Below are 25661 nucleotides of genomic sequence, written 5' to 3'. Positions count from 1 at the left end.
TACCAAGCTCTGGCTTTCACGGTGGGCTGAGGCTGTCAAAATATCTCATCTGATCTTAGTCTGAAGTGACAGAAGTATAGCTCTAAGAAGTAGGGAGCTCTACTCTAGTCAGAACATACCTGCCACAGTGTAGAGAACCACTGAGGCAGGCAGACGAGGAGGGTGAAAGTGCTTAAAATATATAAGGAAAAGATGATGAAACCAGAGGTGTTCTTGCCTACAGAAAAGACTTAAGAGGTTATGACAGTGTCTTTAAATCTCTAAAGAAATGTTAACGTGGAAGGGAGATTACATTCATTCAGTGTGGCTCTAATGCAGAGGTTCAATGTTTGGGATTGAGGCGATGGTCTGGTAGGGCCCTTAATATTTTTTTTATTTTGTGTTGTTTTGTTGTGTGTTTTTTGAGATGGAGTCTCGCTCTGTCACCCAGGCTGGAGTGCAGTGGCGCAGTCTCAGCTCACTGCCACCTCTGTCTCCCGGGTTCAAGCGATTCTCTTGCCTTGGCCACCCGAGTAGCTGGGATTACAGGCATGTGCCACCACACCCAGCTAATTTTTGTATTTTTAGTAGAGGTGGGGTTTCACCATGTTGACCAGGTTGGTTTCAAACTCCTGACCTCAGGTGATCTGCCTGCCTCAGCCTCCCAAAGTGCTGGGATTACAGGCGTGAGCCACTGCGCCTGGCCCCCTTGACATTTTAAGGAAAAGTTTTATACATTCCCTTATATTTTTCTGGGAAAGCCTCTTTAGATCCTCTAAGAAATCAGCAAGCTGTGGCTTAGTCCAGATACTTAGGAGGCTGAGGTGGGAGGATCATTTGAGCCCAGGAGTTCAAGTCCAGCCTGGGCAACATAGTGAGACCCCATCTTAAAAAAAAATAGAAATTTTTAAAAAAGAAATCAACGAGCCCAAAAACAGTGAAGACATACTGGGTCAAAATTTAAGGAAGAAAATTCTGGCTTAATATGAGGAATAACTTTATTTTATAGCTGCCCAAAAACAGAGTAGGGTACCAGGAACAGTAGGTAAGTTCCTTGTCACTGTAGGTTTTCCATCAGAGGTAAAACCACCACGTGTCAGGGATGCTGTGAGGATTCTTTTGCCAAATTAAGGGTTCATCTAAATGACATTCCTTTCAATGATGAAATTCCATGAACATTTTTTTTTCTTTTTTGGCACATGGCTGTCTTCAAGTATACCTACATAGAAATCAGTCCAACTATTTTTTTTTTAAAAAGATATATTCAGAGTGAGAGCTGGTACCTGCAATGCCTGTAATTAAAATATCAAATCATAACAGCTTAAAGTTTGTATTCAAATAACGAAAAAAGATATATATTTTTGAAGGTATATTATAACCTATTAAGAAAAGAAAACTTTAAAATGTCCACATTAAACTCAACTCTAAATAATGTATTCAAAGAAATAACCACATTTAAAAATTTGAATCTAAGATTTCTATCCATCTAAGAAATCATTAAGACTTACCTGTGTGCCATACGTACTGAACCCATACATATGTGCTAGCAGCAAAAAAAAGCCACTGTATGGGGATGAACAGCAGGCATATTATATTTGACGTGAATGCTACACAAACAAAAAATACTGAGAAGGCCTAAAGGGAAAAATAAAACAAAATAAAAGATACATCTTAGAACCTGTTATTTTCAACCACACATTGTTAAACACATGTTGGACAAAATTATTGAAACTGCTAAGAGATAACTTGGTAACTGTAAAGCAAATTCACAAAAGGAAATTTTAAACATTTAAAATCAACCATATAAAAAGTAGCGGTTACTTTAACATTAAAGAATACTAGTACTTTATGGTCCTCAAATCATGAAAAAGAACTGGATCAGAATGAGCTGAGGTGGGAACACAGTGAATTCATTTGGATTCCAAATAAATGTGGGTTACCTGAAAGAACTAGAATTTTTTTTTTCTTTTTTCTTTTTTGAGATGGAGTCTCGCTCTGTCACCCAGGCTGGAGTGCAGTGGTGCGATCTTGGCTCACTGCAACCTCCACCTCCCGGGTTCAAGCGATTCTTCTGCCTCGGCCTCTTGAGTAGCTGCAACTGTAGGCACTTGCCACTACACCCAACTAATTTTTTGTAACTTTAGTAGAGACAGGGTTTCACCATGTTAGCTAGGGTGGTCTCAATCCCCTGACCTTGTGATCCGCCCGCCTTGGCCTCCCAAAGTGCTGGGATTACAGGTGTGAACCACCACGTCTGGCCCTGAAAAAACTAGAATTTTAATACAGAAAAGTCTTCTCTCTCCTCACAAACCATTCCTAAAGAGCTTCATTCTTAAAAGACAGGCTGTCTGGAGCACAGATGAACCATAATATTAGTAAGAAATATACTGATGCTATTAGGTTGGTGCAAAAGTAATTGCACCAAACTAATAATAATTTTAATAATGCAGCTTTCCTCTGGACACCACTACCGCCAATAGAACATAAGCCGAAACTATCTTTTTAAAGCATAGATTTGCTCTGACCAAAGCACCAGGCCTGGGTGGGAGTTATAGTTTTAAGATGTGGCTGTAGAACACAACAGAATTAACACATTAATCAAGGGAACAAGCCCAGGCCTATGCTTGCTCCAATCCAGCAGCTGTCTAAATGTGGTTTGGGGATTTCTGGGGTGTCTTTGAGATCCCTCCAAGGGCTCTTTGAGGTTAAAACTATTTTCATAACAATACTAAGATGTTATCTGCCTTTTTTACACTCACTCATGCATATGGTGGAATTTTCTGTAAGTTACATGACATGTGATACAGTAACAGACTGACTTCAGAAGCAGATATGAGAATGTAGGTGTCTTCCATTGAGCCAAATATTAAAGAGATTTACAAAAATGGAGCCACTCTTCTATATTCTGTTTGTTTTAGAAAATATAACTATTTTTCACTTAAAAATGTAATTTCTATTAACGTGTAATGGGCTTATTATGATGTTTAAGTGCATTAATAAGTGTGTATTTTAAATTTTTCTCAGTTTTAATTTCTAATACAGTAAATCTGGATAGATATAAGCCACATTAACAAAGGCTCTCTGGAGTCCTCAATAGTTTTTACGAGTGAAAAGGGGCCCTGAGACCAAAACGTTTGAAACACTACTCTAACTCCAATCCAATCACTAACCTAGCAACAGGGAACCCAGAAACACTTCAAAGCAGGACTGAGCAATTTTTTTTTTAAGGTAGGAACGGCCTTTATGGTTGCAATGGGAAATGGAAGAGGAGGGAATATGCCATCCCCAGACTAGGTTGCCGCCCTCCAAAAGCCTGAGTAATTATTGCTTCCTCCACTGTTCTGTTTCACTGGAATGGGAGAGGAGGAGAAAATGTAACTATTTGATCAATGGGTTTAGACAAAATAGTTTAGAGGTCAATTTCAGTTAACAGACCCTATTAGCTAATCCTAACATAGTTACCTGAGTATTGCTAATAACATCTACTCTAAACAGCTGAATGGTCCCCACACATGGAAAACATGTATTACCAGACATACCAGTCCCTGGTATCTGAAGGAATCATAGACGCTTCTGATGAAAAGCCAGAATGGCCACAGGTATTCAAATCTGAACTCCAGGACAAAATCTGCTAGGAGGACAAGTGCCCACACCACCAGGAATTTCAGGTATAAAAATGTACTGCAAAATATAAAAATAAAGAATTAATTTAAGGTCATTTGTGAATAACTAGAAATAGAAAATTCACTGTTTCTGTTTAAAACGACAAAAAAATACCTCCATATATCATGAAAACAATGGAGATAAAGCACAAAAAAGAGATGCTGCCGTGGCCCATCTGCATTTTAAATGCTCTGGTGTTCATTCTCAGACCCAAAACTATCAAGATAAGATGATACCAAAAACGCTTAATTCTACTTAAGATGGAAAAAAACCATTTAAATCCCACCACTATTTTAAAAATGTGCTAAGTGTCTGACTTCAAAATACTGCAACACTCTCAAAATTACAGCTTTCAAGCTGTTTTTCATTAGAAGAAAATGTCACAGTTGAAAGGCTTCAAATTTGCTGTTTCCCCACCCCTATACATCTGTTTGAAGAGTCTTTGAAATTCTTGACGCACATCCTTACATGCTTAAAGAATTCTGTCTTTTTTTCCCCCTTTTTTCCTCTTGCCTCTGTATATAGTATTCATCTGCATTAACCAAACAAAAACCAAATGACTTCCCCAAATAGACAGAAACAAACTTAGGGAGCAGATGCTAATCACTACCAAGGGCTGTGAAGGCATAAAAATGTACATTAAAGAAAAAACTCCTTAAACATCTAAGCCATGCTCCAGCTGAGATATAAATGTGTGTTCCCAGTTCCCTCTGGACTTGTGTTAAACAGAAACACTCAGACAAGCCAGTTAGGACACATATGTAACCACTGCAGTAGGTCAAACAAGGACACAGAAAAAAAATATTATTTTTCATATACTCTATAGGTCAATTTTCCAGTTCATTAGTTGCATAATGGACAATAGAATCCTTTAGATTCTACTTGTTAACAAGCCTCTATTTCTGTGCTCCTAATCCTGCCAATTCTGGAGGTCAAATTTAGGTATTAAAAAATATTTTCCACAATATACAAAATGGAAATACCTAAAATTCACTTTCATTTGGGATAAAGCCTTGCACGGTATTTTGTAATACAAATATTCCAATACTGATGTGATCAAATTAGTCATTTAAAAAAACAACAAAATTGAGATTTTTAATAAATAATTTTGAAATATATTCCAATAAGATACAAAAGACTTACATACTTGGAGGAAAAAAACAAAAACAAAAGCAAGAACTTAAAGTAAAATAATAAAAAGAAAAGAGAAAAAAAGAAAAAAGAAAAAAAAAGTAGGATCCAGCATTGAGGATTTATTTTGTGCCCTTTGAAGCCATTCAGGCAAGAGATGTCAAGAACAGAAACATTTGACCCTCAATGATACAGTATTCACAGTGATACATAATTTGTCATCTAGGGTCGATTTCTAATATTTATCCTTAGAACTTCTTTAGGTTTGATAATAAGTTTCTACTAAGAGGTATGCCATAAAGGAATCCAAAGCAAATCACAAAAGAACGCAATCTTTTTTTTTTTTTTTTGAGACAGGGTCTTGAGCTGTCTCCCAGGATGGAGTGCAATGGCACGATCATAGCTCACAGCAGCCTCAATCTACTGGGCTCAAGTGATCCTTCTACCTCAGCTTCCCAAGTAGGTGGTAATATAGGCATGCGCCACCATGTTTGGCTTTTTTTTTTTTTTTTTTTTAATAGAGATGGGAGTCTCACCATGTTACCCAGGCTGGTCTCAAACTCCTGGGCTCCTCCTGTCTCACCCTCCCAAAGTGTTGGGATTTCAGGTATGTGCCTGGCCAGAACACAGTCTTGAATCCTAAGTCCCACCTTTTAGTTTCATTTCACTAGAGTTCTGCTGGCCAGATGAAGATAGAGCCCTCGTAATTCTCACTCATTAAATCCATAACTGACCTAGTGGAGAGCAATGCACATTTTATTACAAAGAACAAACGAGGGCCAGGCACAGTGGCTTATATCTGTAATCCCAACACTTTGGGTGGCCAAGGTGTCCAGGAGTTCGAGACCAGCCTGGGCAACATAGTGAGACCCCATCTGTACAAAAAATTTAAAAATTAGCCAGGTGTAGTGGCACACACTTGTAGTCCCAGCTACTCAGAAGGCTGAGGTAAAAGAATTGTTTGAACCTGGGAGGTCCACGCTGCAGTGAGCCACGACTGTGCCACTGCACTCCAGCCTGGGTGACAGAGCAAGACCCTGTCTCAAAACAAAAACAAAAACAAACAAAAAAACACAACTGACTCATGCAGGTATTCGGGAGCACAAATCTAGTTTGAAACTAGATTTCCAAGGTGCTTGACTTTAAAACTAAGAGTTTTTTTCCTTGTGTCTAGAACCCTTTCTACGTTTTGAAAAAGGAATAACAGCCTCTCCACCATGGTTTCAGAGCACTTTTTAAAAAATGGCATAGCTAGAAGCAGTGGTGTGCACCTGTAGTCCCAGCTATTTGGGAGGCTGAGGTAGGAAGATCATTTGAGCCCAGGGGTTCAAGTCCAGCCTGGTCAACAAAGTGAGACCCCCATCTCTTTATTTATTTATTTATTTATTTAAAGACTGAGTTTCACTCTATCACCCAGGCTGGAGTGTGGTGGCATGATTTCAGCTCACTGCAACCTCCACTTCCCGGGTTCAAGTGATCCTCCTGCCTTGGCCTCCCAAGTAGCTGAGACTACAGGTGCACACCACCACACCACACTCAGCTAATTTTTGTATTTTTTTAGTAGAGACGTGTTTTCACCATGTTGGCCAGGCTGGTCTCAAACTCCTGACCTCAAGTGATCTGCCCGCCTTGGCCTCCCAAAGTGCTGGGATTACAGGCGTGAGCCACTGTGTCTGGCCAAGACACCATCTCTTAAAAAAAAAAAAAAAAGGGCATGGAAATATATTATTTTTCCTGATTAATCCTTTTCCCCATGGAGCTATCTCTGGAATGTAGCTGAATGAGACATGAAGGGTACCCCATCAGGTCTAGTCCTTACCATTCCCAAAGTGGAGAAGAAAGAGTACCACCAATTGCTTTCTGCCCAAAATGCCCCCAAGGCATGGCAGGATCCCAGTCAGACCCCAGTCAGATCCTGCCATGGCAACACTCCGCTTCACTATTTAGATAGGATTATCCAAAGAATGGTAGCCTGTTGAATACGTACTTTTTAATAATTCAATCATTTAAAACTAACGTAGTTCAAAAATTACCATCTTTGTTAGTGACTATTCTTTTTCAATTGCATAACTTTAAGGCGGGGTTCCTTTTGATACATTTCTTTTCAAACAACTGCTTTCATACCTTTGATGTTCCTTGACACCCAGTTCTTACTGAGTCACAGTTTAGAAGTACAGGTATCTAAGAAAACTTGATCTTTTACAAACGTATGCCATACCCTCAACTTTCCTCTGGCTCTCCTTTCAGGCAGGCCTGCCTCCAAAATCAAGAGACAACCTAATTAACAAACCTTTCTCTAAGACTAATCTTGAATTCTATTAAGTCATTTTAGTCTTAGAGGTTTTAGAAGTTTAAGACAGCTGCCTGATTCAGTATTCACTTAGCCCTCTCCATCAGTAAATCATGCCTCTTATCCTTCTGTAGGTACATGTACAGAAGTTAAAGACAAGTAACCTAAATTAATTGCTCATCACAGTAAAAGCCCTAATTCCTCTCCTTTCATATTCTGAAGGTCATAAGATTTTTGCCAAATCTAAAGAGATGACATTCCAAGGGATGAGAAAATTAGACAGGGATTTAAGCCATCATGGCATTCTAAAATATTTCTTTTAAACCATGAAGAAAATATGATTAAATATAAAATACTTTTATACACAGTTCATTATATGACTCATGGCTAATTTGATGTTACCTTGATTCTCTGATCCAAATAAATTTGCTAATAACTATACTGTATCTTAAACAAAATTTTAAAGCATAACTGCAACAAAAAGATATTTTCCAAAATAATATATTGAAACAAGGGCAAATGAATAACATCTTCTGATGGTCTTGTAAGCTTCCGAGTGCCAATGAAATTAAGCAGTCTTATGCAATTGTTAGGCTTAATGGTGGTGACTCTATCAAAGTGAATATTATCTATAAGGTTTCCCCCCATTCTATTCCTACCTTTGCCATTTACAACCATTTTTTTACCTCAATCCATTTAGCAGTACTCTCCATCCATAGATTAATCATCTATGATTAATGAGAAGCAGTATTCAACATTCTTCTTATTCCAAGTAAAGTGCACCTTTTCTCCAGTATCTCTAGCTGCTTATCATCTAGATCATTTTCTGGAGCCCACACAATTACCACCAGCTGGCCATCAATCCTTAGTACCTGACCTTTTCCCTAGGCAGACTAATGGCCATTTAGTTCATTTGGTCCTCACTACAGAAATGAGTCTGTGGAATATTTTACTGGCTCTGCTAGTAGCCATCCATCTCAATCCCAGCTTTCCTGTCCTCTCAGTAATGGCAACTGTGAGTCACCTTTTGCATTCAGTATCTGCCATACTTCCTAGACCAAACTGCTTTATCTTTTCTGTTATCCAATACCTCTCCCTACTGGACATCACCTCTAGAACATTCGTTCAGCCCCTTATCTGGCTTGTACTCTACCTGAAGTCTCACACTGGCCATTTGTTAATTACAGCCTTGCTAATCAAAGTATTGGTCTCTGGACTAGCAGAATCACCATCACATATTAGCTTTTTAGAAAAGCAGAATTTCAGGACCTATTTAATCTAAGCCTGCATTTTAACCAGATCCCTAGGCTACTTGCGCATACAATCAAATTTTAGAAGCACTGGTATATAACATAAATTTCTCATTGTCATGGAATTTCCACTCAATTACAGGATGTCTCAGAAAAAAGACAATGCCCTAATCAGATAATCCGTACTTATCACCAAATGGTTGACTGTCCTTCTCATAACTGGGAACATTCAAACTGTTCAGGGTTAGTTCTTCCATTTTTCTACATTTCTTTCTGAGTCAAAGCCAAGATCCCTACCTAAGTACAATTAAAACTAAATGAAGCACTTCCATAGCTACTCATCCTTCGGCACACAGCACAAATATCACTTCCTCACAATAAGCCGCCCTAACCCCAAAGTAAAGACTAGGACCCCATTACATATTCACGTAGCATCCTGTACTATAAGAACACTGAATCACAATGATAATTAAATAATATTTTGTGTAATTAACTGTTCGGATGTAAAGTCCACAAGAAAAAAGGAGCTGCCCATTTTGTTCCCTGTTTTATCTCCTTAGTGCCCAGCACAGTACTCTGACTACAGGATCTTAACTATTTTTTTTCTCAAAAAATATTTGTTGAGGCCGGGAGCAGTGGCTCACGCCTATAATCCCAGCACTTTGGGAGGCTGAGGCGGGTGGATGACCTGAAGTCAGGAGTTCGAGACCAGCCTGGCCAACATGGTGAAACCCCGTCTCTACTAAAAATACAAAAAAATTAGCCAGGCAGATGCCTGTAATCCCAGCTACTCTGGAGGCTGAAGCAGGAGAATCGCTTGAACCCAGGAGGTGGAGGTTACAGTGAGCCGAGATCATACCACTGAGCTCCAGTCTGGGCAACAAGAGCAAAACTCCGTCTCAAAAAAAAAAAATGTTGAATGAATGATCTGTAATGTAGAAAAGTGTTTAGGACTGACAGTAGGACTTTTACCAAAGCACATACTTACAACGAATATAGAGGGAGAGATGACACACAGGTGACTGACTGGGAAGGTGTCTGGACAAAGCAACAACAACCAAGATAACCAATGCAGCTTCTGCCTGAACGATTACCATGAACCTGCTCCCATCTGTTCTGAATGTTCTTCACTATGAAGAAACTAATTTAATAAGCCTTGTTCTGGGTGCCAGACTATCACTCCATTTGGCCTACCTGCCACTGGCTCTGACGACAGCGGTGGTTCTCAAAGTATCTTCTAGTAAGCCAGACACTAAAGAGCTATGCAAAAATGTAAAACCACACCAGTCTTCTCATGAATTTATTAATTTATTGTTACTTTTCTTTTTTTTTTTTTTTTTTGAGATGGAGTCTCACTCTGTCGCCCAGGCTGGAGTGCAATGGCGCAATCTTGGCTCACTGCAACCTCTACCTCCCAGTTCAAGTGATTCTCCCACCTCAGCCTCTCAAGTAGCTGGGATTACAGGTGCCTACCACCATGCCTGGCTAATTTTTGTATTTTTAGTAGAGATGGGGTTTCACCATGTTGACCAGGCTGGTCTCGAACTCCTGACCTCAGGTGATCCGCCTGCCTTGGCCTCACAAAGTGCTGGGATTACAGGCGTGAGCCACTGTGCTCAGCAATTTATTGGTACTTTTAAGTGAACTAATGTTTTAAATTTTTCTATTTTAACTTTTTTCTTTCTTCTTTTTTTTTTTTTTTTCCCAGAACTGGGGTCTTCCTTTGTTGCCCAGGCTGAAGTGCAGTGGTACAATCATAGTTCACTGCAGCCTCAACCTCAACCTGGGCTCAAGTGATCCTCCTATCTCAGCCTCCAGAGTAATTAGGACTACGGGCACATACCACCATGCTTGGCTAATTTTTTTTTTTTTTTTTTTGTAGAGATGGGATGTTGCTATGTTGCCCAGATTGGTCAACATAGCAAGATCCTGGGCTCAAGTGATCCTCCTACCTTGACCTCCCAAAGTGTTGGGACTACAGGCATGAGCCACCACATCCAGCCAGTTTTAATTTCTAATACAGTAAATATTGATAGATATAATCCATATAAACCAAATCTCTGTGATATTCTCAATCTTTTTTTTTTTTTTTGAGACAGAGTTTCGCTTGTTGCCCAGGCTAGAATGCAATGGTACGATCTCGGCTCACCGCAATCTCTGCCTCCTGGGTTCAAGTGATTCTCCTGCCTCAGCCTCCCAAGTAGCTGGGATTACAGGCATGCGCCACCATGCCCAGCTAATTTTTCATTTTTAGTAGAGACGGGGTTTCTCCAAGTTGGTCAGGCTGGTCTCAAACTCCTGACCTCAAGTGATCCACCTGTCTCAGCCTCCCAAAGTGCTGGGATTACAGGTGTGAGCCACAGTGTCCAGCCTCAATCATTTTTAAGAGTGTAAAGAGATCCAGAGACAAAAAAATTTTTTGACAAAAAAAAAAAAAACAGAAATTTGTGTGTGAGCCTTAACATAAAATAAACTGGAACCACTGCTGCATTCTGCAGGCACCTCCTTGTATAAAATCCAAAAAAGGGGAGCAGGCTGAGAAGACCAAGCTGTTCTATATTTCTTTTTTCTATTCTAGGCCTCCTGCATACTGCAAAGGGAACCTTTCTAGTGTCAATTACACACACACACACGCGCGCGTACATGTGCAGCCACTGCAATGACAAATCTAACAGTGTGAAATATGCCCTTTTTTGTTTGTTTATTTTTTTCAGAGACAGAGTCTTACTCTGTCTCCTAGGCTGTAGCGCAGTGGTGTGATCATAACTCACTGCAACCTCCAACTCCTGAGCTCAAGCGATCCTCCCACCTCAGCCTCCCAAGTAGCAAGGGTGACAGGCAAGAGCCACCATGCCTGGCTATTTTTTTTCTTTAAAAATAAATAAATAAATAAATAGGGTATCTTATGCCTTTCACTAAGGTGTAAGTACTTTGTACTATTTTTGTGACTTTTCTGTTTAATTAAATCTAAAATTATTTCAAAATGAGAAGTTAAAAAGAAGCAACACATACTTGTTATTAAAAAGGTAATATAATGTATAATATAAAAGCCCTTAGTAGTCCTGCCCCAAGATGATTGCTGTTATATAATTCATAAATATAATTTGCTTTTTCTATATAAACAAATGTGTTTCTTTCTTAACAAAAACAGGTTTCTGTTTGACATGTCCACTTCTTTTTTTTTTAGTTTTTTATTTTATTTTATTTTTCTTGAGACAGTCTCACTCTGTTGCCTAGGCTGGAGTGCAGTGGCACAATCTCGACTCACTGCAACCTCTGCCTCCTGGGTTCAAGCAGTTCTCCCAAGTCTCCCAAGTAGCTGGGATTACAGGCGCATGCTACCACGCCCAGCTAATTTTTATATTTTTAGTAGAGACGGGGTTTCGCCACGTTGGCCAGGCTGGTCTTGAACTCCTGACCTCAGGTGATCCACCCGCCTCGACCTCCCAAAGTGCTGGGATTACAGGCGTGAGCCACGGGGCCCAGTCATGTCCACTTCTTTATATAGAATTTCCCTTATCCATTTTAGCAGCAACATAGAGTTCCACATAGAATTTACACTGTTCTCTGCAGTCTCCTAACTTCTGTTTCTGTACTCTTTCAATAGTGCCTTGCAGCTTTTTAGTTCTCTATTCCTCAGGTTTGTTTCCTATAAAATGGCAATACCTACTCTGCCTATTTCACACTTGTGAGGATAAAATGAGATAATATGAAAACATTTGGAAAAGTTACAAGTAAGACAGAAATGTAAGGTGTGATTAAGCAGATTATTACTATCAATTATATGAAGCATAATTTTGATTCCCTTATGAAATGAATTTCTAATGTTTATATAATGTTAACAGGTTTTTTTAGAGCCTGTGAGTTGTTTTCTCTCTCCGCCTATGCTTCTTCACCCCTCCCCTTCCTCAACCCCATAGACTCCACACTGTTAAAAGTATTCTTGAAACAGAAATTCTAAAACTCACCACCTGCATTAGGTTACAATACCTGTCCTTGATATCTCTGTGGTCTATACAGACCTTTATAAAAATGTTATACTACAAAACCGTGAAAACCTTTTTTAGCGATTTCCATTCTAGATTTTTTTTTTCCTTTAAATTGGGGGCTGATTATGGTGGCTCACGCCTATAATATCAGCACTTTGGGATTATATTAACCACCACGCCCAGCCAATTCTCTTTTTTTGACACAGGGTCTTGCTCTATTGCCCAGGCTGGAGTGTAGTGACACGATCATGGCACACTGCAGCCTCAAACTCCTGGGCTCACGTGATCCTCCCGCCTCAGCCTCCCAAGTAGCTGGGACTACAGGAATGTGACACCACACCCAGCTAATTTTTTTGAATTTTAGTAGAGATGAGGTCTCGCTATGTTACCTAGGCTAGTCTTGAACTCCTGGACTCAAGCAATCCTCTTGCCTTAGCCTCCCAAAGTGCTGGGGTTACAGCCATCACACCCGGCCAAAAATTCTTATTACATCTGAGCAAGACGACTCAAGCCTCAGACAGTATCTCTCTTTTCTGAGACAGGAATCCTTACTTTGGACATGAACATAGTATTCATTCTCTTTAATGTTCAACTATTCTTGCTACAAGATAGGCAAAGTACTGATTTTAGTACTCAGCTATTTATTTGGTTTTTAAAAGTGTTGGGTGGGTGCGGTGGCTCATGCCTATAATCCCAGTACTTTGAGAGGTCAAGGTGAGTGGCTCACTTGAGCCCAGGAGTTCAAGACCAGCCTATACAACACGGCGAGACTCCATCTTTATAAAAACGCAAAAACGCAAAAAAAAAAAAAAAAAAAAAAAGCCAGGCATGGTAGTATATGCCTTTGGTCCCAGCTACTCGGTCAGCTGAAGTGTAAGGATCTCTTGAACCCAGGAGATGAAGGATACAGTGAGCTGTGATCTCGCTGCTGGACTCCAGCCTGGGCGACAGAATGAGACCCTGTCTCAAAAAAAAAAAAAAAAGTGTTTTGAAGATGAACAACGTAACAATATGATTCAAAAACAGAATGAGATTATTTCTAGCCACTCCTCTGTGCTGAGTGGGAGATCGGTCCTAAACAGCTCAAACTCATCAGTGATATGAACAGATATATGAAAGTGGAGTAGTCACACCATTTTAATCACTAAATGCAAAAGCTCTGAAAAAGAGAAGGCAACAGAGGAGATGGGGTGAGGGATACATTATTTTTGGTGCCACAATCCCATGACTCAAAGTGGGCATATCATCCTTAAAGGCAGCAGAGAAAAAAATATAAAGCAATCAAGGTCAGTACTATGACTGTCTTCAAAGGCCAGGGAAGACAAGTGCCTTGGAAGGCTCATCAGCTGAGACAATTTGATGTCGGTTAAATGTCAAATTAAAGATACAGAGCCTCAATATTCTCTAAAAGTTGATTAACTTTTTTCAAGCTTCCATTGCCAGGATGCAAGGTGAGAGGCTTTGAAAAGTCACTACTTAAGCATCTGAAGAAATCCACAGTGGAAAAAGTCTAACAAGGATATGTGTATCTACTGTTGTATGTACCATCCTACTTATGCAGCTTGCTGGACAGCCAACTTCTTTTTCTTCTGGACTTAATTCTTGAGCAAGAGCCAAGTAAAATAATTATGCCCAAATCTAGTAAGCCTGGGGATAAACTAATCAGTATATCTGAAGAGCACACTAAATTTTATGAAGAAAAGTAACCTAATTACAGTATTTCACTTAACTATGTTTGTGAAATTTCTACTTGCCCTCCAAACTCCACAAGATGGTAGCCTAGAAACAGATAAAACAAAGTGCACTTTATATACATAAAACCCCAAAGGGTTAACAGTATCAGTGGGGAGATCTGGGAGAAATGGCCAAAGAAAAAGATTCTAGGAACATAAATGCTTACAGAACATGGACTGGGTCCATGAGATATATACAAGCATATAACTAGTAAGAAAATGTAAATAATTATTTGTTAAACCTACCATTAAGATCAATCTCTAAATCTAGTGAGGTTCAAGAGAGGCCATGAGGAATCGATGTGAAGAAAAAGGAGACTATCAATGATAAAACAGGAAGCTTTTAAGCAAATAATGTGAAGTGAATCACGTTCTCTCCTGTTCCCCTCCTCAACCCAGCAGCAATTTAAAGGGATTTTCAAAACACCTAATGAAACTAAACTGCCAAGACTGCTCAGACAGGAAGAATCATAATGAAAGTTGGAGGAAAGTGCTTTTTCATCCCAGTGTGGCCGATTTTTAAAGTGTATTTTGTGAAAACCACAAATAGAAGAGTTTAGCTAATAAACACTTCACTGCACAGGTTAGTGAAAACATTTCAATTTCTCCTTCCCCAACACTCCTCTAAAACAATACAGAATCTATCACTTTCGTGCCAGGTCCAGGATTGTTAAAGTTAAAGCCTACCAAGATTACCAAAATGCTTTTAGGCTATGAGATTGCAACACAGGTATCTGGGGTTTCAGTTGCAGAACACATGTACAATCAAGGCAGCCAAGGGTCATGACAGCCTGCAGTGACTTTAATAAGCATAGCCCAAAGGAGTCTAAAACTAGGCTTAGAAAACATCATTAAGGAGGCAGAAAAAGCAGTCAAATGAAACCTCTGGAGATCAGATGTAGACAAGGGTCTGAAAAAGGAAATTGGGAAGTTGAGAAGAATGCAAAATTTAATCACTTTAAAAAGTCACTTTTGAGGAGCCCCAAGGACCAGAGAATTTTTCTCTGAAATAAAAATGGGAAATAATAACATATACACCAGTGCTGAGTTCTTAGTCCTAGTTTTAAGGCATTAAGCTGCAAAAATATGACAGTCAGGTACAATACTGCACTGCCTAAGCTTCACACAGCACTACAAGCAGAATCCAGTACATGAAGACAGGAAGCAGTCTTAAATACACAGTGAAAGGGTACTTCCTTCAGCCACCAGTAACACAGATATAAAATCATTCCCAGAAGCTTAAAACATATACCTTACTTAAAATTCGTATTATATTTACTTGCATAAATAACCATTTAACTGTAGCGATTTGGAATATATGTATACTTTAAACATAAATGTTTCTGCCTCCTTCTTCTACTTACCACATCTTATCTCCTCATTTTTATATTATAAAGTCAGTAATTCTCTGAGGGAAGGGAGTGGAAAGTATGGCAGGGTGAGAGGTAGGGGTAAACCATACAGAATCCCCTTAAGGCTTTTAAAAACTACATAGTACCCTAACCTCACCTCACCTGGAAAATCACTGCCTGCAATGAGATATTACTATCGGGAGTGTCTGGTGCACATGTGTCTAGGCAGACACAAGGAGAGAACCCAGCCCAGAAAACCAAAGGACCTTAGAAATATAAGAGTTAGGTACTTAATAACTTATGTTCATAATTTTTAAAGTACTTTCATATCTATCTCATTTGAGATAGAAAAGACTCCCTCATATAGTGGCAACTGTCTACTTTATCATAAAATAGCACAGAGCAAAATACAGCTGTTAATGTGTCAGATGAACCACTAAAACAGTAAGCTAAAATTTAGCACAACAGAAATATTTTTACTTGAACAGAACTTAAAGTTCTTTGGAAACTCTAAACCACTGTACAAATTTAAGATGGTATTACTACGGCCTACTAGACTGTAAACTCCTTGAAGACAATGAGCCATGTGTTATCCTGTATCCTCCGCAATTCCCTGAACAACGTAGGCACTTCATGAATGAAATGGACTAGCTTATATTCATTTATTAATTTACTCACTCAACATTTATTGAACACTGAATGTCGACTCTGTCAGGCTCTGGGCTGGGTCAGATTTTTTTAAAACTACATCGAACTTTAGCCCCTAGTAAGATGAAAAGATCACTATTCCTATTTCCTTTCTCCTATTTTTAATTATTAACTGGACTAAAATATTTCTATAGCATGTTTCACTTTTCAAATGATGTTTTATATGTATAAATGCAGATTACATTAACATAATGTCTAAAATTAATTTTCCTTGCATCTCACCCCGAAACAGAATTCCAAGACAGCCATGATACTCACAATAAATGATATCATTTGACAGTCACCTCAGTAACAGTTGTTGGACTGCAGCCCATGATTTAAAAGTGAGTCCACAACAGGATTTTTTAAAGCAAGACCAAACAGCAACTGACCCTTTGTTTTGGCTACTCAACTTTTGTTTACAGTTGCACCAAATCTTACAGTATTTCCTGCCTCCTTAAAAAATTAACCACACGTTAAACTGTGATAGCAACAACATGGTAAATAGTATCTGTAAACTACACTAGGATTTATAAAGCATTTCACAAACTGTACATATCTCCTTTAGTCCTCAAAACTCATTTGAAGGTGGGAGAACTGGGGCTCAAAGCTGTGGATGCCCTGTCTGCCTAAAGCAGCAGAGCTGGGATTTTGAGTCTGATCCTGGGTCTCCTGATTCCTGCAGTCCAGTGCGCTTTTCACCACAGCTGCCTCCTTCCTATGCCAAGGCTCAGAAAGTTGTACAGACTGAGAACATGAAAATAGTAAGTCCATGAAAGGTTTGGCTATGAAACAGTAGACAGTGGTTATCAAAACTGTCAACACGGCCCCAGAAAAAAAACAAGGCTCTCTGTTTAATGAATCCAAAATTGGCCACATGTTGTTGAGAAACAAAATGGGCAATAGATGGTGTGAAAAACAACTTAGCATAGACTTAAATTTGATGATCACCAGAAATTTGATATTCATGAATCCTCAAGCATTCTAGTTTATAACCAGTCCACTCATCCTGTTTGCTTTAGAAATAACAGGAAATTTTTCTAAATCTCTTTAAAAACAGAATTGGGCAAAAAAAAAAAAATCTTGTTCTTCAGTCCAATACTCCATAATATAAACCAAGAAACAGATAAGTGAGTTGAAACGCTCATTTGATATATGATACTCCAACCAGGAAAGACAGTTAGAAATACATTTAGGTCTTTTATTAACATTTAACTTAAAGAATGCAAAACAGAGAAGCATAAGAAGATTTAAGGCTAATGCACTGTCGGTTTTTAAAATTTTGCAGATGAACCTCTGAATAACTTGCAAAGAGTATTTACAATTAACCTTTAGGGTAAGAAAATTCAAATTTCAAAAGCCATCAGTAAGATGATAAATCTTCATTAAACGATGAATTCACTTCTTCACATCGATTCACACTGAGTAGCTATTATGGCGCAGGTTGTAAACTGGGTCTATTTGTTCAAGTACAGAGAAATGGAAATACAGCAGAAAACACGTAAACAATATGGGACTCTCAATCTTCTTGCTATAAATGGAGGTACATCATCTTATGTTACTGTAAATAGCAGCTATTCAAATGCCACAGTTGTGCTAAGTCTACCAACTCGGTTTAATATCCCTTTCCTATTTTTATGTTACCATTAATGTTAAGTTGGTCAAATATTTTTCAATAGCCAAAGGGGAAAAACTTTCTTTAATTCAAGAATGTATAGTGTATGTAACGTGAATTGAAGAGACCTTTCCTCCATCTATGTGTAGAAAAAATTGTTTGCTTTCACAGTTCAAGTTAAAATGGTCAAGTTCGATTCATCCAGCATAGATTAGAGTCTGTTTTACTCACTGCTCTATCTTCACTGATTAGAAATGTTCCTGGCACATAGTATATATAACTGATGAATGAATGAATTACTCCTATGCTCTATGGCTCATTTTATAAGAATATACCCAAGAAATTTTTACTTTGATTCCTTAATGCTTTTAAACTTGAAGAAAATCCCCAGTGTTTACATCAGTCAGCTGCTTGTGGAAAGCAATCATTCCACATCTGTAAACAAGAGCATGTGCAAGGTGTACAGTTATGTTAAGACAACTTGGGTGTCATCAGCTACCTCACATATTTCTTGAAATCCCACAGCTAGAGAAGCTAATTGTAAAACACCATGAGGACTCAATTAAGCCTACATCCACATGCTGAGAATTCTTCTTTGTAAACTAATTACTTCTCCACCGAAATCTGTATCAAGGCAAATACCATTTACAAGTAACATTCTGAGAAGAACCAGAAAATAACAGTCGTACACAAATCGACTTGGGGAAGCTATGATAGTAAGTTGCCCCATGAACCTGTTGTCTTTCTCTACCGGTGGACTGAATTCAATTTCTATTTAAAGGGACACTGCTTTTCTTGCGGATGAAAAAAAAAAAAAAGAGTTTGGAGAAAATCCCTTTTTAAAAACGTTCAAAGCAAGCTATCTGCTTGGAATTGTCAAAACAATATTTGCTGAAAAACTGGTCATCAGACCCTTCCGAATCTGGAGCAGGGCCACAGGGCATGATTTGGGGGTATCAGCTTCAGCCCTGGGTGCCAAGTTTGAGATCCCATATGGGAAGCAGAAGGTGAAAGAAGTGACAGCATGGCCCCAGGCCAGTATGCTGGCAGCTTGGGGGAACGAGGGGCCACAGTGGGCTCTCAACTTTGTCAGCCTCCCCCACCCCCCCGCGCTGTGGTCCACGCGCCTCCTGGCTCCGGCCGGCAAGCCCCCAGGCCACCGGGGGGCTCGGGGGCCAGCGGCGGCCAGTCAGAGGTCCCGGAAGCGGCCCTCCCGGCCCAGCGGCATGGCCGGGATGCTGAGGAACGCCGGGCTGGTTGGGGGCTCTCCGCCCCTCCCCCCGGCGGGCCCGGCGCTTCCAACGGCGGCGCGGCGGCTCCCTCAGCCAGCGCCCGCCGCGCCCTGCCCGCCCGGCCGGGCCGACCCTCGCCACGCCCCGCGCACCCGGGGCGGACCCCGGCGGGCGGGCCAGCGGCTCCGGGGCCAGCGCTCCTTAGGAGAGCCCCCGGCGCGGGCGTGCGGCCTACTCGGGGTTACATAACGGGGCCAGGCCCCTCGGAGCTGGAGGGGGACCGCAGGGCCCGCGCCCGCGGAGTGGGGGTGCAGCCGCTCACCTGCCGTAAATGCCCTCGGTGATCCGGTTCCGCTTTAGGGGGCGGCGGAGCTTACTGCAGTCGGCGTTCCGCCGCTTCATCCTCCCGCTGGGGGGCCGGGTGCCCGCGCCGCCGCCGCCGTCTCTCACCTCAGCTGCCGCCGCCGCTGGCCCGCCCCGCGTCGGGCCTGGACTCTACCCCTGAGGCCGGTCACACAGACATGGAGCCAGCACCCGGGGGGAGGGGGTAGCACGGGGAGGGGGGGCTCGGAGCCTCCTCCGCCTTCGGAAACAAAGAAATGACAATTCCGGGGCCCGCCCGCCCAGCACCAGCCAGCCGCCTGCCCCGCCTCCTCGGCTCCGACGGACGGCCCGGGAGGCCAATAGAAGCCACCGGTAAACCGCTGTCGGCCAATCCCAGGGCCCGCTGAGGCAAAACTGACTCTAGAACCCGCCCCTTTGAAGGACGGAAGAATGCGCCAATCATTATAGTGTCTGGGTCCCCGGCTGAGCCTATCAGAAAAGATTTAAATAGAGGCTTATAAATAGGCCCTATAAATATAACATCCTATATTACGCCTTGTTGCGAAGGTATGCTTTATTATTATTGGGTTGCGTTTCATTGTATTGTAATCCCTACTAGAGCATACCGTACGGCATGGCATTGTAGGCTCTCGTCTAGCAATGTATGAAATCGGAAGGCCCGGGTTTGCGGCATGTGCGGTGTCTGCGCTGACGTGCGCTTCAGCCAGTCGCGTCATTATGTAAGGGAGCATCCCAGGAACAGCGCCGGGGACCCTTCTGCGGATGCTGGAGAGCTCGGCCAGGCCGACCGCGTCAGCGCGCACCGGGGGTACGAATGACAAAGCAAACCCCACACGCACACAGACACACACCCTGCCAGCTTCCCGCGACGTGGTGACAGCGCGCCGGCCAATCGGAGGTGGCGGCCCCGCCCCGGGTTACGCCACGGGGCGGAGCCGTGGGGGCGCGCGACGTAGCGCAGAGATGCCCGGGGCGTGTGCGGCGGTGCGGCCCGGGCTCCACGTCCACAGGCTGGGCAGCGCTGTGGGCCCCGCGGGCGCCGAGTCCGCAGGACCCGCGAGGGCACTACCGCGAAGCATCGGCCTCCGGGCCGGGCCGGGCCGGACCGGGAGCCTGCTCGGCGGGTCCGGGCTCCTGCAAGGCGGGGACGCGGGGCCGGCGACCCTTCACGCTTCGTACTCATTGAGCGCCGATTTTATGCCAGGCACCGTGCTGGGTAATTTGCGTGTATTTGCTCATTTACTCCTTATAACTCCCCTGCCACGTACGTATGGCAAAGTAACACTTAGAAAAGTCCGCATGGTGTTTTTTTTTAAGAGAAATAAAAAGAATGTTTATCATTAGAGAAAACTGGGGAAAATGTAGGAAAGTGGCCGAAAAGGAAAAAACACCAATGAGTCTCATCACATTAACACAAATACAGTTGACATTTTATTGTATTTGCTTGTTTTCCAATTTTCCCCTATGGATGATAATGTTACTATTGCTATTAAATAGAATAGTGGTCATACTAGAATAGTAGTCATACTAGAATAGTAGTCATACTGTTTTTAACATAAGCATTTTTACATGTTTTAATGCAGCTTTTATAAATATTTCTGAAAATATTGCAGAATGTCCTATCCAGTAGCTTTATCAGTGTAATCCCTCAACGACAATGGGGCAGTTAGTCTTCCAGTGCATTTTTAAAACTTCCCAGGAAGGGCTGGGCGCGGTGGCTCACGCCTGTAATCCCAGCACTTTGGGAGGCCGAGGCGGGTAGATCACGAGGTCAGGAGATCGGAGACCATCCTGGATAACATGGTGAAACCCCATCTCTACTAAAAATACAAAAAATTAGCTGGGCATGGTGGCGGGCACCTGTAGTCCCAGCTACTCGAGAGGCTGAGGCAGGAGAGCGAGACTTTGTCTCAAAAAAAAAAAAAAAAAAAAAACTTCCCAGGAAGTAGATGCCATTTTGTTTTGTCCTGGGTTTCACAGAACTCTCTCTGGCCTGTAATCACCCCTCCCTTAATCAACATCTACCCCAGGGAGAAACTTTACACCAAATGCGTTGTCCTCAATCATGACTCTGTGTTACTTTCTTCTGCTCACAAACCTTCAAAGATCTCCCAGTGCCTGGAAGAGAAAACCCATTCTGTTTCGAAGGGCATCCAGAGCTGGTCACAGTGGGGACCCACCCTCCTTTTCCAGGCTACGCCAGGCAAGCAAACCGTTTTTCTCACTATCCTTAAATCCACTGCAACCGATCTTTCCCCCTTCCTGCCTCTGCCCCAACACAGTATCTCTGTCAGTGCCGCTTCTGGTGTGTGGTTTCTTAGGCAAGGCTTATCCATCCACTTAGGCAAAAAGCTTCTTGGAGATCAAATCTATACCCTGCAGAGATACAGTTAAGAAAAATGGCCAAAGTACTTGCTTTTTCAGAGTAGGGCTGAAATTCTAGCTTGGCCACTTACTAGCTTGGACAAGTTACTAAATCTCTCACAGTCTGTTTCCACTCAGGTTTGTTTTAAGGCTTGGAGGACAATGAGCCTTCAGAGCCAGACAAGCAGTAGGTAACAGAAAGTAACTGCTGTTAGCAGTATACTTGTTTCTCATGCCTTAATTCTACTTCAGTATATTGATCAAGTGGCACCGGGTGGCCAAGAAAACAAACTCTGTGAGCTCAAAGTTTCACCAAGGCCTGCCCATCATTGAGAAAGGATATGAACAGAATGCTATGTGTGGAGCAGTAGAAAAAAGCCTTCAGCTGCCAAGGCAGATTGGTTCACTGAGGAAGATACAGGTGGGAACCAAATCAAAATGGAAGCTTAAAGGCGTTGGGGAGCGCAGGAACAGGTACATGGTAAAGTCCGGGCTCCAGCCTCCATGGGAACCCCAGACTTGAATATCCCTCATCCCCATGACTGCAGTGTTCCAGATTACCTGGGCCAGAGACTAAGTGGGATGGTTAGATGAGTAAGCCAAAGAAAAGATGAGAGGCACTGGGGACACATGCCAGCTTTCTGAGGCTCACTGTCTAGCCTACTATTAAATAGACCCTGACAGGGCATCTCATGCTGTGGCAAAAGTGCGGAGTGGCTGGGAGCAATGGAGGTTGTGGCTGAGAGTTACTGTTGAGCTCTAGGACTATGTGGAAGCAGAGAAAGGGCAGAGAAAATCTGAGGGTGATGGCTGACAAACAATCTGAAGGTCTGGAGGTCTAAGTTCCAATCCCAATTCACATGGCAACTCACTAGTGTCCTTGGTTGAGTCACCAGCCCACCCTGTGCCAAGATCTCCTCTGGAGGTGGTGCTTCTAGTTCTATGTTTAGAAGCAGATTGTGCTAGCTCCATTTTACAAATGAGAAAACTGAGGCTGAGAGGAAACAAGGTCACATAATAGGTGTGGTAGAGCAATCTAGCTCAAAGCACAAGCTGAGCAAGCTGTGGTGCCTGTATATAGCTATTGATGGGTAGAGTTGGGGTGAGATGATGGGAATGGCCTTCTTGCCAAGACCCAAGGAGAGGCCAGAGCAGGACTGCCCATCTCCATACTCTTCCTCTTTCACTCCTCCAGACCCAGCTCTTTTTTCCATGACCCACTCTAGCACAAGCCCTTTTGGCTCCAGCCAAGTGCCAGCCTTTTTCCTCTGAGTCCTGAAATGGCCCTTTGGGATTCTAAGGGCACAGAAGTGGGCCTCCTGCCAGAAGGCCCCAGCTCCCCACACCTTCACCAGTCAGGAAGCAGAGATCAGCAGTGGCCATTTTACAAATGAGTGAAACAAGGAAGGGAAGTAATTTGCCCTCATTCAAAAGACCAAGGCCTACAGAGGAATTTAGGCTTGTCCCTCCTTCTGGGACTTTCTGATGAAGGGATTTGCACTTGGGCTTCAGCTGAGCCCAGAACAGCTCTAGAGGCCAGATCATTAAACCCTGTTTCACATATAAGGAAATGGTATTCCCACCTCTGTCAGCCCGTTCAATCCCCGCAAGCCCACTAGCTGTCTTGAGCTTTGTTCCTGCCCTGTAAGAATCACAGAAAAGTCCAAACATTTCGATGGCCACCTCTTAACACATGTACCTGTATCCCCTAGAGAAACCTATTTTTTTTTTTTTTGAGATGGAGTCTTGCTCTGTCACCCAGGCTGGAGTGCAGTGGTGCATTCTCAGCTCACTGCAATCTCTGCCTCCTGGGTTCAAGTGATTCTCCTGCCTCAGCCTCCAGAGTAGCTGAGACTATAGGCACACGCCACCACGCCTGGATAATTTTTGTGTTTTTAGTAGAAATGGGGTTTTGCCATGTTAGCCAGGCTGGTCTCAAACTCCTGACCTTAGGTGATCCACCTGCCTTGGCCTCCCAAAGTGCTGGGGTTACAGGCGTGAGACACCACACCAGGCCAGAACCATGTTAATGGAAGATGTTCACTGTAGTGTTTAGAACAGGGCTAGTTTGGGAGAGGACTGACCAAACACTTTATCACATATCCTTACCATGGAAGTCAGTGTGGCATGGAGGATGATTATACACAGCACTAACTATGGCAGCCGCCACTCCAAGTATCAGATACATTTTGTTTTAATCCTCACAACAATCCTATGAGATAGAGATTACTAGCACCATATTACAGATGAGGACACTGTGGCACAGAGGAGTTAAGGCACTTGCCTAAGGTCACATAGTAACAGAGTTGGGAATTCAAATCCAGGCAGTCTGCTTTCAGTGCCTGGGCTCTTTAACCACCATGTTATATTGTTGTAGAAAGATTTTCCTGGCTTGGAAACTGCTTATGATATAGAGTTCATGAAAATAGCAAGTTACCAAACAGTATGTGCTGTGTAATCCCATTTTTGTAGGGAGAAAAACAAGGCCTAAATCGACAGGAATAGAAAAACATCTGAAAGGATATACACTCAAAACATAGTGCTGGTTTTTGGAGAGACTGAAATGGACATTTTATGTTAGCTTTATGCATCTGTATTTTCAAAGTTTCTACAGTAAACTTGCCAAGCTTGTGTGATAATCATAATTGCTAACATTTATGGAGTGTTTTCTACACATCTGACACTTTATGCACTGCCTCGTTGAATCTTCACAACAACCCAGTGAGATTGACACTGATTTTCTGCCTTTCCAGATGAGGAAACAGGCACAGAGACACTGACTGTTTTACCCAAGGTCACACAGCTCATTCCAAAGCCAGAATTTGAACCAGGTTGCCTAACTCCAAAGCTCATGTGTGTTAAATCAATGAACGACTGACTTAGCTGCACTTTAGCCAAACGTGCCCAGAGCAAGGTCACACCCTTGGCGTGGACACATTTCCAGGGAGGGACCGGAGGACCTCCTACCTCATTGGTCACTGCCAGTGACTGAGCTTGACTCAGGTAGGAGGGCATGGCAGGTATTCTCAGGGAGTCTGGTGTTTACAGAAAAGTCATGATTACACGTGAAAGCTGTGGGCTCCCTGGCTTGATTCACCACACCTGCAGGAAGCCTGGCTGCTCAGACCAGCACGCCGTGGACATAGCACCACTTGCTCAGCTTCATTTCCGTAACTCAGGCTGCCAGGCCTGCTGACAAATTTTCACGTTTGTAATAACCCTGTGAGGAGACCAGAGTACATCTTACTTGACTCATAAGGAAATTGAGACTGGGTGATTTAGTAACTTGGGAGGCAGAATTGCAAAGTGATTAGCAACACAAGCCATGGTGTCAGATGGATCTGGGTTAGGTCCCACCTCTGCCGTTTATTAGCTGTGTGGCTTTGGGTACTCACGCCACCTCTCTGAGCAGCAGTTTCCTCTTTTGTAAGCGTAATGATGCCTACACTCACAGGCTTGAGAGGAAGATCCGATGAAATAGCATATGCAAAATGATTGGTTCCGTGCTTGGCATTCCAGAAATGGTAGCTGTTATTCAGCCAACAAATATTTATTGAGCACCTACTATGGACTTCCCTGGTGCTGAGGATACAACAGCAACCACAGCAGTCAAAAGTCCCTGTCTTTATGTTGCTCAGATTCTCATAGGGGAAAGCAGATAATGAACAAATACACGGCCAGACGCAGTGGCTCACGCCTGTAATCCCAGTACTTTGCGAGGCCAAGGTGGGCAAGTCACCTGAGGTCAGGAGTTCGAGACCAGCCTAGCCAACATGGTGAAACCCTGTCACTACTAAAAATACAAAAATTAGCGCAGTGTGGTGGCTCATGCCTGTAGTCCCAGCTACTTGGGAGGCTGAGGAAGGAGAATCGCTTGAACCTAAAAGGCAGAAGTTGCAATGAGCCAAGATCGTGCCACTGCATTCCAGCCTGGGTGACAGAGTACTCCATCTAAAAAAAAAACCTAAATACACAAGTAAAAATATAGACTTCGTCAGATGCTAGTAAGTGCTGTGAAGGAAACTAAAAGG

At 42.4% G+C, this 25661-nt stretch overlaps 2 protein-coding genes across 5 annotated transcripts in view, besides 4 other annotated features; one reads left to right on the top strand and one right to left on the bottom strand.

The window, feature by feature from the left end:
• The window catches only part of MACO1 (macoilin 1), a 69313-nt gene extending 49788 nt beyond the window's left edge, over positions 1-19525 (bottom strand). For all 3 annotated transcript variants that reach the window (NM_018202.6, NM_001282564.2, XM_005245931.3), the window contains exons 1-3: positions 19244-19525; positions 3519-3660; positions 1488-1614 (exon numbers count right to left, since the gene is read on the bottom strand). In NM_018202.6, the coding sequence (NP_060672.2) occupies positions 1488-1614; positions 3519-3660; positions 19244-19323 (349 nt within the window). In that variant the 5' untranslated portion in view covers positions 19324-19525. The remainder of the gene's footprint in view (positions 1-1487; positions 1615-3518; positions 3661-19243) is intronic.
• Positions 2545-2784: an enhancer, noted in NCBI's record as "active region_458". NCBI's record gives its function as "activates an Ori minimal core promoter by ATAC-STARR-seq in GM12878 lymphoblastoid cells {active_cell/tissue: GM12878}" and the evidence as "EXISTENCE:reporter gene assay evidence [ECO:0000049][PMID:35858748]".
• Positions 14504-14593: an enhancer, noted in NCBI's record as "active region_457". NCBI's record gives its function as "activates an Ori minimal core promoter by ATAC-STARR-seq in GM12878 lymphoblastoid cells {active_cell/tissue: GM12878}" and the evidence as "EXISTENCE:reporter gene assay evidence [ECO:0000049][PMID:35858748]".
• Positions 19010-19669: a silencer, noted in NCBI's record as "silent region_455". NCBI's record gives its function as "represses an Ori minimal core promoter by ATAC-STARR-seq in GM12878 lymphoblastoid cells {active_cell/tissue: GM12878}" and the evidence as "EXISTENCE:reporter gene assay evidence [ECO:0000049][PMID:35858748]".
• Positions 20060-20499: a silencer, noted in NCBI's record as "silent region_454". NCBI's record gives its function as "represses an Ori minimal core promoter by ATAC-STARR-seq in GM12878 lymphoblastoid cells {active_cell/tissue: GM12878}" and the evidence as "EXISTENCE:reporter gene assay evidence [ECO:0000049][PMID:35858748]".
• Positions 20219-25661, top strand: part of RHCE (Rh blood group CcEe antigens) — a 67955-nt gene continuing 62512 nt past the window's right edge. Inside the window, exon 1 of one of the 2 annotated variants that reach the window (XM_011541889.4) lies at positions 20219-20482. In XM_011541889.4, coding sequence (XP_011540191.2) covers positions 20230-20482 — 253 coding nt within the window. In that variant the 5' untranslated portion in view covers positions 20219-20229. Of the gene's footprint in view, positions 20483-21376; positions 21470-25661 lie in introns of those variants that run through there. The other variant, XM_047427028.1, reaches the window with a different exon arrangement.

Source organism: Homo sapiens, chromosome 1, assembly GCF_000001405.40.
Source record: "Homo sapiens chromosome 1, GRCh38.p14 Primary Assembly".
NCBI classification, from domain to species: domain Eukaryota; kingdom Metazoa; phylum Chordata; class Mammalia; order Primates; family Hominidae; genus Homo; species Homo sapiens.
Note: the sequence above shows the minus strand (reverse complement) of the source record. Positions and strands in the feature narration are given on the sequence as shown.